Here is a 17,497-nt window from a genome sequence, read left to right as displayed (position 1 = left end):
CTATCTGATTCCATTTATATGAAATCCTAGGAAAGAGTAATCTAAACAGGTCTGTGAGTTGGCATGGTGGTTTGCACCTGTAGACCTGGTTACTGGGAAGGCTGAGGACAGAAAGATTGCTTGAACCCAGGAATTCAAGGCCATCTTGGGCAGCATAGCAAATAGTGAGACCTTGTCTCTTTTTTTTTAATTTTTTTTTTTTTGAGACAGAGTCTCTCTCTGTCGCCCAGGCTGGAGTACAGTGGCGCGATCTCAGCTCACTGCAAGCTCCGCTTCCCGGGTTCACACCATTCTGCCTCAGCCTCCCAAGTAGCTGGGACTATAGGCGCCCGCCACCACGCCTGGCTAATTTTTTTTGTATTTTTAGTAGAGACGGGGTTTCACCGTGTTAGCCAGGATGGTCTCGATTTCCTGACCTCATGATCCACCCGCCTTGGCCTCCCAAAGTGCTGGGATTACAGGCGTGAGCCACTGCGCCTGGCCAAGACCTTGTCTCTTAAACAAAACAAAACAAAATCCTCTTCTAAACAGGTCTGTGGTTTCCTGAATTGACTGGGAAAGGGTACCAGGGAACTTGTTAGCATAATAGAAATGTTCCATATCATGGTTATGGTAGTGGTTACATGGGTGTATGCAGTTGTCTAAACTTATTGAACCCTGCACTTAAAATGGGTATTTTTTATCTTATGTATGTTATACCTCAATAAAGCTGATGTTTGTAAAAAGAATATGTACAACCTATCCAATCTACTGTTAATTGACATTGAATTTTTTTCAGTGTTTAGCTACTTCAAACAATGCAGCTATGAGTATTCTTGTATGTGTACTTTTGTACACATTTGTACTCATTTCTAGAGGGTATGTATATCTAGGCATTGCTGGGTCATGGGTATGCATATGATTACATTTAGTAGATGCCGCTAAACAGTTTTCTGAGGGGACCGTACCCATTTACACACTCAGCAACAGTGTATGAGAGTTCCGCTTGCTCTGTATCCTCACTGACACTTGCTGTTGTCAGTCTTTGTAATTTTAATCATCCTAGTGGATGTACAGTGGTGTGGACTATGGCTTTAATTTGGATTTCCTGAAGACTAATGAGGTTGATTACCTTTTATTTGGATTTTACCTGTCAGTTCTTTTTTTATTATTAACTTGTAGGCATTCTTTAAATATTGTGGATGAGGACTTTGTTAGTGATATACTATTAGCAGGTAATTCAACCTGTGACTTGCCTTTCAGTTTCGTATTAGTAATTTCTATAAAGGGAAGTTTCTAATTTTAATGTCCTCTGAATGATCAGTCTTTCCTTTTGTGGTTAATAGTTTATGAGTTCTAGGTAAGAATTTTTTTCTACTCCATGGTCATGCAGATATCCTCCTGTGTCATCTTCAAGATGCGTTATTCACAATTAAGCCTAAAGTCCACCTGAAATTGATTATTTTTGCATATGATATGAGGTCAAGATGAATTTTTTTCCTATGTAGATATTTATTTGGCCCCACACTATTTTGTGGAAAGTCCATACTTTCTCTAGAGCTCTGTAATACCACCTTGATCATAAATTGTATGTGTGTAGATCTGTTTCTAGACTTGCTTCTGTTCCAGGGATTGACCCATGGCTCATTTTTGTACAGCCTCCAAGCTAAGAATAGATCTGTATTTTTATAGGGTTGTTAAAAAAAGAAGAATATGCGACGGAGATTGCATGTGTCCCAGAAAGCCTAAAATATTTACTGTCTGGCTCTTTACAGAAAAAGTTTGCCAACCTTTGTTCTATTCCATTGATCACTTTCTTTGCACCAAAACAACACTATTTTAATTAATGTGGCTTTATAATAAGTGCTGCTATTGGGTAGAATGTCTTCTTAGAATCAAATTTTCAGTTTCTATACCCACATGAAAAAAATTCTGTTGGAATTTTGATTTGTTTTATATTGTTTATAATACTGGAATATTTGAAATATGGAATCTTTTGATCTATGAATCTGGTGTATCTCTCTCATGAATGAGTGTTAAAATGGTCTGCATCTTTTGGGATAATCCTTGGATTTTTCTTCCTTAATCACTTAATGTAGTAGATCATGTTGATAAAGTTTTCAAATATGAAACCAGCCCTGCATTACTGGACTAAACCAAACTTGTCCACAGTGTGTGATGCTTTTTATATATCACCAGATTTGGTTTTCTGTTTTATTTAGAATTTTTGCATCTCTGCTCAAGGATTGCCTTCACCTAAAGTCAGGCCTTGATCTGATAATTGGTGTTGAGTAGCAGACATCAAGATGGAAGCATAAACTAAACCAGGATGAGATATGCAGAAGGCTTATTGGGGGCAATGCTTGTAAAGGATAAAGAAGAAAGCAAGAGAGGACAGGGGAAAACCTGAGACCATGAGACAGGCCTGACCCCTGTGAAAGAAGAGAGGAAAGGAAAGAATTGGTAGGAAGGGCCCCAGCCTGCAGCACAGATCTAAGAATGCCTCTGCTAGGCCAGTGAAGAGTCCCCAGGCAAACACTTGTCTTTTAGAAGAATCCTGCTTTGGGCAGGAATGGGGAAATGTGGCCTCTGTGTGAACATGGTGATGGATCCAAAGGGCGGCAGCTGGGGCTGTCAGTCACAGTCTTCCCCTCGGCAAGTTCTTCAGAAGGAGGTGTGCAGAGGAACAGCCCACCTCCATGCTTGACATGGTTGGCCTTTTTCTTTTCATCCCTGCTCACAGGTTGTATTCTTTTGGGGACCCCAAGTGAAAACATGGTGTTTTCTAGAGCTCTTTTCCTTGGCTGGCCCTGAAGTTCCTTTTTTTTTTTGTCTCCTCAGCCTTTTGAGATTGATGGAAGCTCTGTGCAGCTGGTCAGTCTCTCAGCCATTACTTTGGAAACAGGAAACGCCTCAAGGTGAACAGTTGTGCAAAGCACTGGACTCACCTCTCTGGATTTCCATCTATTTGGAAGCTTGTCCCATTAAGCCATCTCTGCCTTGGTAGCTTTCTGGTGCCTTCACACAAATGTGGTTATACATCGTCTAGCTTTTCTGGCTATTATTCATGGGTGGAAGAGTTGATTCTGTAACCAGCTAGTTCACTGTAGGTAGATTTAGAAATTTTCACGTATGTATTTAATGTAATTAATTATGTATTTATTGTTTAATCTTTTATTTTGAACTTTCTCTTGGTTCATTCTTATATTTTTCTCTTTTCTGAGATTAAAAAATAATTTTTCTTTTATACTTTCTACTTGAAAGGTTAAAGAACATTATTACCCTTCTTTCAGTGGTTATCCTAGAAACAATATGCAAGCACATCGAAGTCTGATGCTACTTAAAATTCTGTTCTACTCTTACAAAATATAAGGACCTTAGAACATTTTAACTCCATTATCTCCTTCCTATCTACATGTTGCTTTTTTTGTTGTTTTTTAAAGAGATGGGGTCTCACTGTGTTACCCATGCTGATCTTGAACTCCTGGCCTCAGGCAGTCCCCCTCAGGCACTACTCAGAGCCTCAGCCTCCTGAGTAGTTGGGATTATAGGCATGAGCCACTGCGCCTGGCTCCAACATGTTACTTATATGTGATGTAATTCTCTCTCCTTTTTTCTGTGAAATATCTGTGTTCTGCCCTTATTTTTGGAAGGTATTTTTGCTGGGTACACAATTATTCAGTAATATTGAAGATATTATTTCATTCTTACTCCATCTCCCATGGCTACTAAATTCTCTAGTTTTTCTTTTTCTTCTTCTTTTTTGTCTTTCTGGTCTGCATTCTAGTTAATTTCTTCCAATATATGTTCAGTAAATTTCTTTTTAGTTAAGTTTTAAAGTTTGATTATGAGAAGTTTTTTAGGGTACTGCAGCAAATATGCTTGATCACTTCTTATAGTTTCTTCACCTGGACTACTTTTAGTTTTATCTTTTTATTTCTTCAGACATGGTAAGCGGAATTTTTTTATAATCTGTGCCTGGTGATTCCTTTATCAGAAGTTTTTGAATCTGTTTCTCTTGTTTGTTTTCTCTGGTTTGTTTTCTAAGCTTTAGCTTAGAATATTGTTGTTTTCCATGGTTTTTTTTTTTTAACTGCTTTGTGTTTTATGACCTTCAAAAATTATTACTTGGGGATTCTTTGAGATCTAAGACAAAAAATCTCTTCTCCAAGTTGATTGGTGTTTGCTTTTGTCCAGGGACAGGCTGTTACCTGAGTTAGCCTAAAAATCCATGTCCATGTGCAGTTTAGCCCATGGCCACTTCTTAGAGTTATCTTTCCCCTTCCTTTTTTTCTTTTTCCTACTTTGTTCAGCTCCAAAGTAGCCTCTGGGTTGGTGGGGGCATTATTTGTAGTTACCCTTCCTCTTAAGTGCGGGAGAGTCTCCTGATAGAGATTCCTAACTGGACTTGGGCTTTTTCTTCTATTTGCTGGGTAGAAAAGTCCTTAAAGTGGATGCTCATGTTCAGTGGCCTGGGCATATATTGTTTCACTGGTATCAATAATATTTTAGGATATAATTTTCTAGCAGCTAGGTTTTACATGTATATACACTATGGTTCAGATATAAATTACCCATCTCTCTATATTAGCCCAGTTAGCTAGTACATGGATAAGTCATTAGATAATTTGCTACCCATGTATTTGTCCTATTAAGATGTAGTTATAATAAAATTACCAAGTTATCTGTAGTTTGCTATTATGGGTAATATTTCCTCATGTAAACTGTATAAACTCACTTATATACATATATACACATGTACACATATGCATACATAAGCACACACAAAGGTAATAAAAGTGATTCTATATGTAGCTAGTAACAAGTTAATTTCAAAATATTTATTTTGTTTTTCTCTAGTGGACAGGTGGGAAAATATGGGAAAGGAGGTCTCCAGGGTTGTCTTCTGACTGACTAGGACATGATTAAAACACTTGGGAGCCTCAGATATAAAGGGGCTGTGATGGTAAGAATATATATACATTTTGACCTATGATGATTTTTTTTTTTTTTTTTTGAGACAGAGTTTTGCTCTTATTGCTTAGGCTGGAGTGCGATGGCACCATCTCGGCTCACTGCAGCCTGCGCCTCTGGGTTCAAGCAATTCTCCTGCCTCAGCCTCCCGAGTAGCTGGGTTTATAGGCACCTACCACCACGCCTGGCTAATTTTTGTATTTTTAGTAGAGACAGGGTTTCACCGTGTTGGCCACGCTGTCTTGAACTCCTGACCTCAAGGTGATCCACCCACCTCGGCCTCCCAAAGTGCTGGGATTATAGGCGTGAGCCTCTGCACCCGGCTGACCTATGATATGTATTTTTAAAAAGAAGATGGAGAAAACATGGAACTTTGCTTGAAAGAGAATTGCTTAGGGAAAAAGTGATAGCTGCTTTCAGATGTTTGAAGGGATATTTTGTATAAGATGAAGTAGATTGGTGTTTCACAATTTTCGAAAGCTATAGACCTTTTCCCTAATTCTCTACTGGAAAATTCTACTCATATTTTGGAGACAATCTGAGTGATTGTTCATGCTATGTGGTAAACAAGTAGGGAATTTCTTCCTCCTGACGTACCTGTTCGAGGGAGGTGGTGGCAGCAGCACGAACCTAATGAAGGCAAATAGAGAAACGAGAGGCAAAGACTGAGCATTAGAATATGCAGGCTAGGCACAGTGGCTCACGCCTGTAATCCCAGCACTATGGGAGGCCGGGGTGGGTGGATCACCTGAGGTCAGGAGTTGAGACCAGTCTGGCCAACACAGTGAAACCCTCGTCTCTACTAAAAATAGAAAAATTAGCCGGGTGTGGTGGCACATGCCTGTAAATCCCATCTACTTGGGAGGCTGAGGCAGGAGAATCACTTGAACCCAAGAGGCAGAGGTTGCAGTGAGCCAAGATCGTGTCACTGCACTCCAGCCTGGGGAACAGAGTGAGACTGTCTGGGGAAAAAAGAGAAAAGAATATACAAAGTAAACTTTTCTTACATACTTTGACTTTTCAGTATTTTTATGGAAAATAATTTCTTTTATGTATTACTTTCAGAGCAAAGATCATTAAGGATAGAAATTGTCTTTTATTGCTGAGTTTTCAGTGCCTAGTAAGTACCTGGTACATATAGTAGGAGCTCAGATGTTTGCTGAGTAAATGTGTTGAATAAAGGGAGGTGCACTGGGGTATTTCTAATGATGACCACCATCTTGAATTGGCACAAGCTTCTAAAATGACTGCTCTCAAAGCTGCAAAATTTACTATGTTAGTATCTAACCTCTGCTGTTGAAGAAGAAAAGCAGATTTCTGACTGCCCTCCTACTTTTCTTTTGTCTTTTCCCATCAACCTCTCTAACACAAAGTGCCAGTGACACTCTTTTGATTTAGAAATCAGTTTCCCATAGCTGCTATGTGTATAAGCTAGAACAGTAATAACAAAAACATGGTAATCTTGGATTTACATAACAACTTGAACTTCCTCTTTGTAAAATAAACTGGTAAAGTAAGGTGGTCAAGTTAGATGAAAGGTTAAAAAAAATATTTTACTTCAAGTCCTGGGAAACCTTGTTTATAGTGATCTAAAATGCAAGGAATTCAACTGGATTCAAGTAGCATTGTCAGAAGTTCCATTTCTAGGAGTAGGTTTTAAGAGTTTGAAAAACAGTGCATGAAGTTAATTTGGCAGCCAAGAAAATAAATGAAATTTAAAAAATCTCTTCAAGGGTTCTAAAACACTTAACATGAAATTTAGGATTGCAGAGAACTAATTGGAGACACTGAATAGATAGGACGATACAGGTGAAAAAGAAGAAAAGTGCATGGCGGAGTATTAATGTTCTGCAGAATATTAATTTCTCCTCTGGAAGGAACTTCTTTATAGAAATGTTACTCTAGAGGTAACTCTGTAATTAGGTAATTTTGAGCTTTTTTTTCTAAATTAATTTTTAAATTTATAATTGACAGTTATACATATTTATGAGATGCAGTGTGATATTTTAATGCATATATGCATTGTATAATGATCAAATCATTGTATAATGGTTTCTTTTTATTATTAAAATTTTTTTAGAGACAAGTTCTCACTATGTTGCTCAGGCTGATCTTGAACTCCTGAGCTCAAGTGATCCTCCCACCTTGGCCTCCCAAAGTGCTAGGATTACAAGACCAAGCTACCATGCTGAGCCATTTTTTTCCCCCTTAAATACAGGGTCTCATTCTGTCTCCCAGGCTGGAGTGCAGTGGTACAATCTCAGCTCACTGCAGCCTCCACCTCAGCCTCTGGAATAGCTGGGACCACAGGCTTGCACCACTGTGCTTGACTGATTTTTGTATTTTTTGTAGCGACAAGGTTTTGCCATGTTGCCTAGGCTGGTCTTGTACTAGGCTCCTGGCTCTGCCTCCCAAAGTGCTAGGATTACAGGTATGAGCCACCACACCTGGCCAAGTTGATTTCATAGAAGTTGAGCTGTGTTTTTTTTTCAGCTGCTCCATAACTTAAGACCTTAATCATAGACACCCCCTAGTTGAGTAGTCCCATTTTCTTTCCTGATTGCTCTCCAGCTAGTTAGCCTACATTGAAAGTACGTGATTCATAAATCCATGTAGTAAAGATTTAATTATAATAGTTACAGTCCCTGTTTTTGATGTTTAACAGATAATTTTTCATCTTTGCTATAAAAACAGAATAGAAATATTTACATGTAAATGCCAAGCACATTAAATCAGAAATATAATTTTTGTTTATTTGTTCCTTTAGCAAACATCTGTTGAGTCAGTCCTGTGAGCCACTCACTAAACTAATTACTGGGAAGGAAGTGATGTGGCCTCTAACCTCACTTCCTTCAGATAGCTGTGCACATGTCACCTGTTAGAGAGGCCTTCCCTGACCACTTCAGAAAAACAGCCCTGCCTTTCCCTCTTCCTTTCCTTCTCACTCTGCTTATTGTTCTCCATTGCAGTTGTCACCATTTCTCATATTACTTATTTCTTCCTCAGCATTTTTCTCTCTCAGTTGGAATGTAGAGCAGAAACTTTATTTTCTTTATCTCTTAAAGCCCAGAACAGTTCCTGGCACATATACATCTAATGAATATATGTAGAATACAGGCTCTGATTCCTTGTGCCATGATCCTACAACAATTTCATGTACCTTTATTTTTGTACTTAGGTAATTATTTTATACTTATATCCTCCACCAAACTAGAAACTACTTTTTTTTTTTTTTTTCTGAGACAGAGCCTCACTCTATTGCTCAGTCTGGAGTATAGCAGCACAATCTTGGCTCACTGGATCCTATGCTTTCTGGGTTCAAGCGATTATCCTGCCTTAGCCTCCCTAGTAGCTGGGACTACAGGCGCTCATCACCACACCCTGCTAATTTTTGTATTTTTTTTAGTAGAGATGGGGTTTCACCATGTTGGCCAGGCTGGTCTCAATCTCCTGACTGCAGGTGATCAACCCATCTCAGCCTCCCAAAATGCTGGGATTACAGATATGAGCCACCACAACTGGCTGGAACTTTTTGAAGTCAGTTTTAACCACCAGGTGAGGGGATCTCAGATGGGGTGTCCATTGGGTTGTTAACAGATGAATAGGAGTTTATCAGGAGGAAGGAAAAATGGCATTCCAGAACAGATTTTAGAGACATTTAGAAGTTACATTTGCCCAGATTTGGTTGAAAGATTTTAGGATGGAGTGTGTGTTTCCAGTTAAAGATGCCTTGTGGAGCATTATGTTTTTCTGACTTGAGTGACTGGATAGATGGAGGTGTCATTAAATGAAGGACTGAAGGATATTGAAGTGAAATATATCTCTCCTTCCTCTGGAGAAATGAGTTTAATTTGGGATAAGTTGCATTTCTGATGCCTGTAGAGAGTTCAGTATCTAGCTGAAAATTTGTTTCTAGAGTTCTCAAGAAAGAGGTTAGGGGTTGAAAATAGATTTGACAGTCATTTTATATGTTATAATTAAGTCTTAAGTGTAAGTGAAACCATACACAGAGAGGACAAAGACATGTAGAATGAAGACAGGACTCTAAGAGCTGGTCAGAGAAAGAAGAATCAGAAAGGAAATTTGAGAGTAAGTAGTGGAAAGGTCTGAGGACAACCAGGAGGAGTTGGTAATTTGCTTATTAGGAGGTGATAATTTTAAGTGGGGCAAGGGGAGTGGAAAATTTGTCCTTTGTCTTAGAGAATTCATTAGGATTTGGACTAAAGGGATACAGTTGGACTAGACCTGACAAATGGCAGTTTGGTAAAGTTACTGAGAACAGTTTCAGTGCAGTGGACGGAAGGGAGGAGGAAGACAGATAGAAGTGGGTTGGAACATAAAAATTAGAGCAGCAAACCGTGACAAGGTCAGGGTGGGGTAGTTGGCAGTTTTCCCCCAAGGAGGTATTTGTTAATTTCTGAGAAACCCTGAATTAGAGGTAACTGAAGGTAAGCGATACATACACTACATTTGTAAGTAGTTTGAAAAACAAAGGGATAGAGAGGGTAGCTATATGGAAAGGTGGAGAGAACTTTTGTTGTTTGGGAAGCATTTATATATCCATGAGATTTGGAGAGAAGACTAGGGATTTTCTCACATGAAGTTTTACATGTGAGAAGAGAGAATTATGGTGGCAAGGTCCTGAAGAGGACTGATGACTAAATCCCCACCTGAAATAGGACGAAGAAAATGAGGACAGGCAAAGAAAAAAAAAGTTGAGGATATAGCAATTGAGTGAACTGGGAGACAAGGTTATTGAACTAGTGTGAGGAAATCAGCATGGAACAGCAAGTTAAAGAGGTTTATGATGGCCGGGTGTGGTGACTCATGCCTGTAATCCTAGCACTTTGGGTGGGAGGCCGAGGCAGGAGGATCGCTTGAAGTCAGTTCGAGATCAACCTGGTCAATGTAGCAAGACCTTGTCTCTATAAAAATAAATAAAAAAGAAGGTTACTAGAAGTTTGAAACAGCAACCTTGAGGGGACAGGAATTAAAATGCAAGCAAGAGACTTTTCTGAGTAGTGTCAAGAACTTAGCTGAACTGGGAAATTGTAAATCAATGCTTGTCCTGCAGTTTTATTCAGCTGTAGTAGCAGGCCAAGAACAAGAACAGAGCAGGTGTATTTTGGAATTCTCCGTAGTTAGAGATTGGCACATCGAATGCTTTGAAAGGTTAAGGGGAAAGGAAGTTGAGGGTACTGGTCAATTTTGTTGAAATACTGATCCACGGGTAATCTTAGTAAGAAAGAAAGTAACTTCTGTTCCAATTTTAGTATATATGTTGCCGAAGTGAGCATGATAGTAATTTCTGGAGGGAGACTGATAGTTTAGAAGAATGGAGAAGGCTAAAGGGAATGGAAGGTCTTGATAAAGTCAAGCAAGTTTAATTGGTTAAAGGATTGAGAGGTGATAAAGTCAGATAGAAAGATAGTTGGTTAGAGCACCATAACAAATTTTTCTGAGTTTGCAGAGAAATTAAATTCTAGCATAACAGAAATAATAGGGCTATGAATCTAGATATGATAATACTGTGTGTGAAATGTTACATGTGAAATGTACAATGCTACATGAACTTTAAATACTTTAGAAGGCAGATGCCAGGATTCTTTGTTCATTGTAGGATAATCAATGCCTGGCACATTTGTAAGAGCTCGGTAAATATTTGTTGAATGAATAACACCCATCCACAGTCTTTCTTGCCTGGATAGTTCATAATGCCAGAAAATTTTGATTCATGTCCGACACCTAGTGGTACTGTACTTAAACTGCTGTTGAGTGGCAGCATTTTCCTTATACTATTTGAGGGAAATAGTACAGATTAGTCGTAGCACTATTGCTTTGTCCCTGAAACAACTCTCCAAGCTGGTTTTGGGAATTTTTACTATTAGCATTTTCCAGGGCTCTAATTTTAATTAGCAAACATTTATTGAGCATCTACTGTGTGCCATGCAGTGTTCTGTGTGCTGGAGATTTTCATGTCCTGTATATTCTCGTGCGTATATGAACTTACTGAACTTGAATACATAGGTAGAGCAGTTGCACTGGGCTACTTGTTAAGGCACTTAATTTAGGATTCTCATATGATTTTTACATGTGAAACCTTTCTAAATTTATTTCATAGCCTTTGGGGCTATCATTTCTGTCATGACATACTGCTTTTTATTAATGTTAAGTAGGTATTTAGGAAGATGAAAATAGAGTGGGTTTGTTTGTCAGCTTGCAGTACCGATCACATAGTGCAGAATGCTACATACTGTGAAGAACTGTTGAAGGATTTTGTTTCTTCCTTTTTTTTTTTTTTTTTTTTTGAGACGGAGTCTCGCTCTGTCGCCCAGGCTGGAGTGCAGTGGCGCGATCTTGGCTCACTGCAAGCTCCGCCTCCCAGGTTCACGCCATTCTCCTGCCTCAGCCTCCCGAGTAGCTGGGACTACAGGCGCCCGCTACCACGCCCGGCTAATTTTTTGTATTTTTAGTAGAGACGGGGTTTCACCGTGTTAGCCAGGATGGTCTCGATCTCCTGACCTCGTGATCCGCCCGCCTCGGCCTCCCAAAGTGCTGGGATTACAGGCGTGAGCCCCTGTTTCTTGCTTTTAAGAAAATGTACAGTTCTTATCTGTTAGTGGTGTGTATGGATATATTTAAAGTACCTATGAATGACATGATATCTGGGATTTGCATTAAAATGTTTTAAAGTGGGTGGGTTTCAATGAAACAAGACAAGATTGAAAATGTTTTTATAATTAAGCTGCATTCATGGGCTTTATTGTCCTCTCTACTTTTGTGTATGCTGGACATTTCCACGGTAAAACTTTTTTTTTTTTTTTTCCAAGATGGAGTCTCGCTCTGTCACCCAGGCTGGAGTGCAGTGGCGCAGTCTAGGCTCACTGCAACCTCCACCTCCCGTGTTTAAGCAGTTATCTGCCTCAGCCTCCCAAGTAGCTGGCATTATAGGGATGTGCCACAATGCCCGGCTAATTTTTTGTGTGTTTTTAGTAGAGACAGGGTTTCACCATCTTAGCCAGGCTGGTCTTGAACTCCTGACCTCGTGATCCACCCGCCTCTGCCTCCCAAAGTGCTGGGATTACAGGCGTGAGCCACCATGCCTGGCCAGTAAAACCTTTTAAAAACTAGAGAGGTGTGGGTTGAAAGAAAGGTTAGCATGATTCAGTTAGAACATGGTTTGCTTTTTTATATTAAACAAACTTTCTTATTTCATTTTGTTCTATTTGTTACTACTTGAAGATCAGGTTGAGTAGAAAGATAGTATGTTTTTACTAATAATAGATATAATGTGATTGAGACCTGACAGGTGACATTCTACTGACAGTATCCAGAGATTATTGGAATTTGGGTTTGGGAGCTCATGGTAATTGCTGGATCTGCAGATTGGAGACTTGGAGATATAATTTTAAAGTGCTAGCTGTCACCTGCAAGTGAGAGCATTTTGAGTGAGAATTTGGGGAACACCTAAATTTAATAAGTTGGCACATCTTTCTTAGTGCTTCTCTCCTTACCAAAAAACAAACAAACAAAGGACTAATAATCTGCCACAGCAGTCCTCTTAAATTGGATTCTGCTTAATGACTTATATAGGATATATTTATCATATGATACATATGGATTTTTAATGTTGGACATTGTGTCTCTGTTAGACTCTTAAGATACCAGTAAACCATATTCCCAAAATAAAAGTTAGAAGCCTGTTGTCAACAATAAGAAATACTAGTTATGAAATATTTTAGGCAAACAAAAATGTTACTTCTAAATGCTTGCCACCCATCTTTGTCATCTTAACATTTCAGCTTCACCTCCACCCCCTCATAACCTTTCTTTTTCCTTCTCTGTTTCTCTCTCCTGAAGACATAAATGACTGCAAATATAATAAGGCCCTTTTATGCCACTCTTTTCCTATTCCCTTCCTCCAGAGGTAATTACTAGCCTGAATTTGGTGTATATTACTCCTTATTTTTGTTTTTTTCCTTAATAGATCCACATTCCTATTGCTCAATAAATTCTTCTACATGCTGTTTTTTTTCTGTGGCAGTCTATTTTCCATCAAAGAGAAATAAAGATCCCTTTTCATCACTCAGACATAACTTTGCTATGTATTTCAGTCTGTGTTGGGGTTTCAGTTATTTTTTATCTGAAAAATAGATATTAATTTCAATATGCTATTTATTTCCCTTAAATAGCTGATGCTTGGTGCCTTCATATTCCATTATGTGATAAACCTCTTTAGTTTTCCACCTTTCTGGAGGGTATACTTCTTGCGAGGCTTATCTGACTTTCAGATTGGAGCATAGTCTCATTTCAACAGCCTTTTGTTGTATAAAGATAGAGATTTTTCTTTGGCAACAAAGAAACCAATGGAAAAAATACCATTTTTTGAAATAAGTCTCATAAAAGCAGAGATTTGGTTTAATTAAAAAAATTCTCCAATAGCAAGTTTGGGAACTCTGAGAGAGAAGAAACAAAAGCTCAATCTCAGTTATAACCATTATTTTCTTTCTTTCTTATATATATATATATATATTTTAAAGCCTATAGCACCTGATATTCCCAGGCAGTCTCCCATCCAAGTATTAACCAGCCCCAGTCCTGCTAAACTTCCGACATCAGACAAGATTGGGCACATTTAAGGTGGTATGGCCATAGACAAGAGCCATTATTTTCTATTGCTTTGCTCTTGATTAAAATGTGGGATAGTTTTTCTTTGTATAAACTATATATTTTTCCAGTCTGTTAAGAAATATGTTTCTCTTGTCCTCAGAACTGTAGGATTTTCTTACTATCATGATCTGTTTCTCTGTGATCTTCATTACAGAGTCCTTTTTGTAACTGTCATAGTTCAAATTTTGTTGCTTCTTAAAAGTAATCTATTAGCTTTAGTGTGGTTTTTTTTTGTATACTTAATATTTAGAAATTTCAAATAATATTTAAAAATTTCAAATAATTTAGATGTTGCAAATGATTTTGTCTTAGGCTTTCTCCAAAGAAGGAGGTCACTAGAGATTTAACTCATCCTTTTTGACTGACAAAGCCCCCAGGCCTATAGATGTAGCACTTTGGTTTTAGACACAATCTCTTTGAAGACAGGTGTATAGTTTGTGTCAGAGTTATTGGAAATTTTTTTAGTATAATCTCTTTTTACTTTCTTTTCTTTCATGTTTCTCGTCCTATCCCCTCCCCCGGCAGTATTCCTTGACTTCCCTATAATATGACAGTTGAATTTGATGAGTGTCCTTTCAACCAGTATTTATTGCTCACTTGCGATGTGACAGGCTCTGTGTACCCAAGATCATCTCTGATCTGTTTGTAAACCTGAAAAGTTTATAATCAGGTCTATCATAATAATAAGTAATACTTAACAAATACCTGCATGTACTAGATATTATATAAATGCTTTACTGGATTATCTTTTTTAAATCCTCACAACAACCTTGCGAGGTAGGAATAATTATTATCATCCCCATTTTTCAGATCAGTAAACTGGGGGCACATACAAATCATTCATCTAAAATCACTTGGATATAGGGTTGTCATATGAAATACAGAATGCTCAATTAAACTTGAATTTCAGATAGACTACTACTATTTTTTAGTTTAAATATGTATCAAATATTGCAAAATCTGATGACCCCACTTGGAAAATGAATGACAGAGGTGGGATTTTAAACCATGTAATATGGTTATAGGGCCCAAGGTCTTAACTGTTGCATTATAATGAATATAGAGAATAAGAATCACATCCACCTGAACATTCAGTATTTAGATGGCAGCTACTACCTATATATAATTAATTTTTTTACTCAAGTTATTTTTCCCCCAACTGATCATATTTACTTCATTGTAGACGTATGTGTATTCTTTCTGATTTCAAGTGTAGTGTTCAAGTTCAGGTAAATTTACATGTGCTTTTTATGTCTTTTTAAGTCAGTACTAATTATATATTATAACATAAAATGGGACTTTTTTTGAACCTGGTTACTTTAGCCATTCTCATCCATGTAAGATAATTGTCTTTTTACCTTCTTTTCTACAAATATAGGAAGATTTAACTGCATGTATGTGCCAAAAAGGCACACTCTCTTTTGATAAGGTTAGGAAATGATATTTGAATAAGGTATTTAACAGTTCTTTGAAACATGTCCCATGTGTTCTCAAAAAATTGAGAAGTTATAAAATACAGATGTGGAATTGAAAGAGGCTTTTACTAAGAATTGCCAGGGAAGCCATCTGGGTCTGCTAAGTAATCATACAGGGAAGTAAGGAGTCACTTTTCCTGGTGAATTACCACAATTCGGGATCAGGCTTTTAGTTCTGCATATCTAGAAATGTATTTACAAAAGCTAAAGACCTGAGAGAGCTTGTGAATGACACACGTGTTAAATATGATACTTCTGATTTCCAGTTCTGGCAAAATTGCGGAGCACATATCTTAAAAAGAAGACACTCTTAAAATTCATGAGTCAAGTGTTTAACTCAAGACATAGAGTCAAGGTGTATAGAAATTGAAGAAAAGTATATTTCATAGTGAAATCTGCTTATATTTAAGGGATATTTACAGGAAATGTTTTTCTCTCTCTAGGAGGAATTGGATGATATCTAGGTAGCAAGTCAGATTTTTGGAGAAAGTTCAGAAAGGAAAGTGAGCAAGAGGCCGGGCTCGGTGGCTCACACCTGTAATCCCAGCACTTTGGGAAGCCGAGGAGGGTGGATCACAAGGTCAGGAGTTCGAGACCGGCCTGGCCAACATAGTGAAACCCCATCTCTACTAAAAATACAAAAAAATTAGCCAGGCATGGTGGCGGGCACCTGTTATCCCAGCTACTCGGGAGGCTGAGGCAGGAGAATCGCTTGAACCTGGGAGGCAGAGGTTACAGTGAGCCAAGATCACACCACTGCACTCCAGCCCGGGCAACAGTGCAAGACTCTGTCTCAAAAAAAAAAAAAAAATGTGAGCAAGAATTAAAAGTGCAACTCTCAGCAGATGTAACAGTGCTTGCTATAGGATTGGACTCTATTTTAATCTATTCCATCTTCGTATGTTTTCAGGCATAGTGTATTGAAAGATTTGTCAGTGGCAAAGTATGTCTGACTTTACAATGGTAGTCATTTCAAAATTAGTATTTCTTTTGTAGAATTAACACCACATTATTTTGGACCACCTCTGTTCTGTGTAAGTGAAATTTTCTATCAGAATTTTCAGAAGTCATCGCATTGCTACCCAACCAACGTTTTATTATTTTGTAGAATTCATTAATGGTCATTTACATTTTGTATTTTTAAGTATGAAATAATCACCTTTGAGACACAGTGGACTAGAAGACATTAATAGGAAAAATGTCTCTTCTCTTTTATTATATAAATCTTTCCATGAAAGCAGTGACTTGATGCAACAAGACTTACTAAGCCTTTAGATATCTAGCCAAGAAGATAGATGTTTTTTCTTTAATGCCAACTATTGTAAATATTAGATTGACCACAGACTGACCTAACCTGATCACCAACTTGATAGGAATTCAGCGTTTGCATTTTAAGCAACTTGAATTGATAAGAAAGTATTTTTCCTTTTAAATTAATTGCAAATGGACTGTCTACTTGAATACAGCAGAGCTTGAGAAATAAATCACATTCAGTTACTTTTGAGGCAGCATGGAATTGCCACACTTGAATTCAGGCCTGAGGGTTCAAATCCCTATGCTGCCTCTTAGCAAGTTACTGAGTCTCTTTTTCCTCTTCACTCAAATGGCAATTTTAGGATCATAATGCCCATCTTGAGGGCTTGTGTGAATTTAAACTAAATAATAAATGTATTAATTCATTGAATAATTATTTATTGAATGCCTGCTCTATGCTATGGATATTAGTGAGCATTGCGAAAATTCCTGATCTTTATGTTAGAGAGATATACAACAAACATGTAAGCAAATAAAAATGTAATTTTAGGTAGTGGGTTGTAAGTTTAATGAAGAAAAATAAAGTGTAGCACACAGAAAATTTCAAGTGGCAAAGGAAGTGTTTTGGACCGATGTCTACTCGCTTCTAAAACAAGCAATTTCTACTATGCCCCATTGCCTTTGAAATCTAGCCATTCATTGCTTTGGAGGGCGTCTTTCAGAATAAATAGCTAAGTATTTAAGGGGAGCTAGTGATAGATATTCCTTTATTAAGTAACTTCCTTTAAGCCATCTTGGTGCATACACTATGGTAACAATTCAGTTTTATATGGCAATAATTATGAACTCTTTGTATTTGACACTCAATCATTTTTTGCCCAGTATTGCTGTTTAACAAGTAGTATCATGTTACTCAACACATGTATATGCCTTATTTTCTCAGTTACATTCTTCTTTAAGGGTCAGGACTGTGTCTTCTACTTCAGTGATTCTCAAACTTAAGTGTGCATCACAATCACCTCAGAGTTTCTGATTCAGGAGATCTAGGGTGGGGTCCACAAATTTGCATTCCTAACATATTCCCAGGTGATACTGATGCTGCTGGTCCTGGGACCACACCTTTAGAACTACCGTGTACCTCCTTC

The 17,497-nt window shown here is 37.9% G+C and overlaps 1 protein-coding gene and 1 pseudogene across 25 annotated transcripts in view, besides 1 other annotated feature; one reads left to right on the top strand and one right to left on the bottom strand.

Moving 5' to 3' along the window:
- The window catches only part of ARHGAP21 (Rho GTPase activating protein 21), a 140,274-nt gene that overhangs the window by 70,112 nt on the left and 52,665 nt on the right, over positions 1 to 17,497 (top strand). Inside the window, exons 5-6 of one of the 25 annotated variants that reach the window (NM_001367450.1) lie at positions 2,821 to 3,085; positions 4,840 to 4,945. The exons of 23 other annotated variants lie outside the window; for them this stretch is intronic. Coding sequence is in view for 1 of the 2 variants with exons in the window: in XM_011519606.3 (XP_011517908.1) it covers positions 2,834 to 2,897 (64 nt within the window). In the remaining variant the exon portion in view is untranslated. Of the gene's footprint in view, positions 1 to 517; positions 3,086 to 4,839; positions 4,946 to 17,497 lie in introns of those variants that run through there. One more of the 25 variants, XM_011519606.3, reaches the window with a different exon arrangement.
- Positions 7,773 to 7,862: a silencer, noted in NCBI's record as "silent region_2222". NCBI's record gives its function as "represses an Ori minimal core promoter by ATAC-STARR-seq in GM12878 lymphoblastoid cells {active_cell/tissue: GM12878}" and the evidence as "EXISTENCE:reporter gene assay evidence [ECO:0000049][PMID:35858748]".
- RNA5SP305 (RNA, 5S ribosomal pseudogene 305) lies at positions 13,492 to 13,610 on the bottom strand (annotated as a pseudogene).

The sequence above is a fragment of the Homo sapiens genome, chromosome 10 (assembly GCF_000001405.40).
Source record: "Homo sapiens chromosome 10, GRCh38.p14 Primary Assembly".
In the NCBI taxonomy this organism is placed as follows: domain Eukaryota; kingdom Metazoa; phylum Chordata; class Mammalia; order Primates; family Hominidae; genus Homo; species Homo sapiens.
This window is presented reverse-complemented; position numbering and strand designations above follow the sequence as displayed.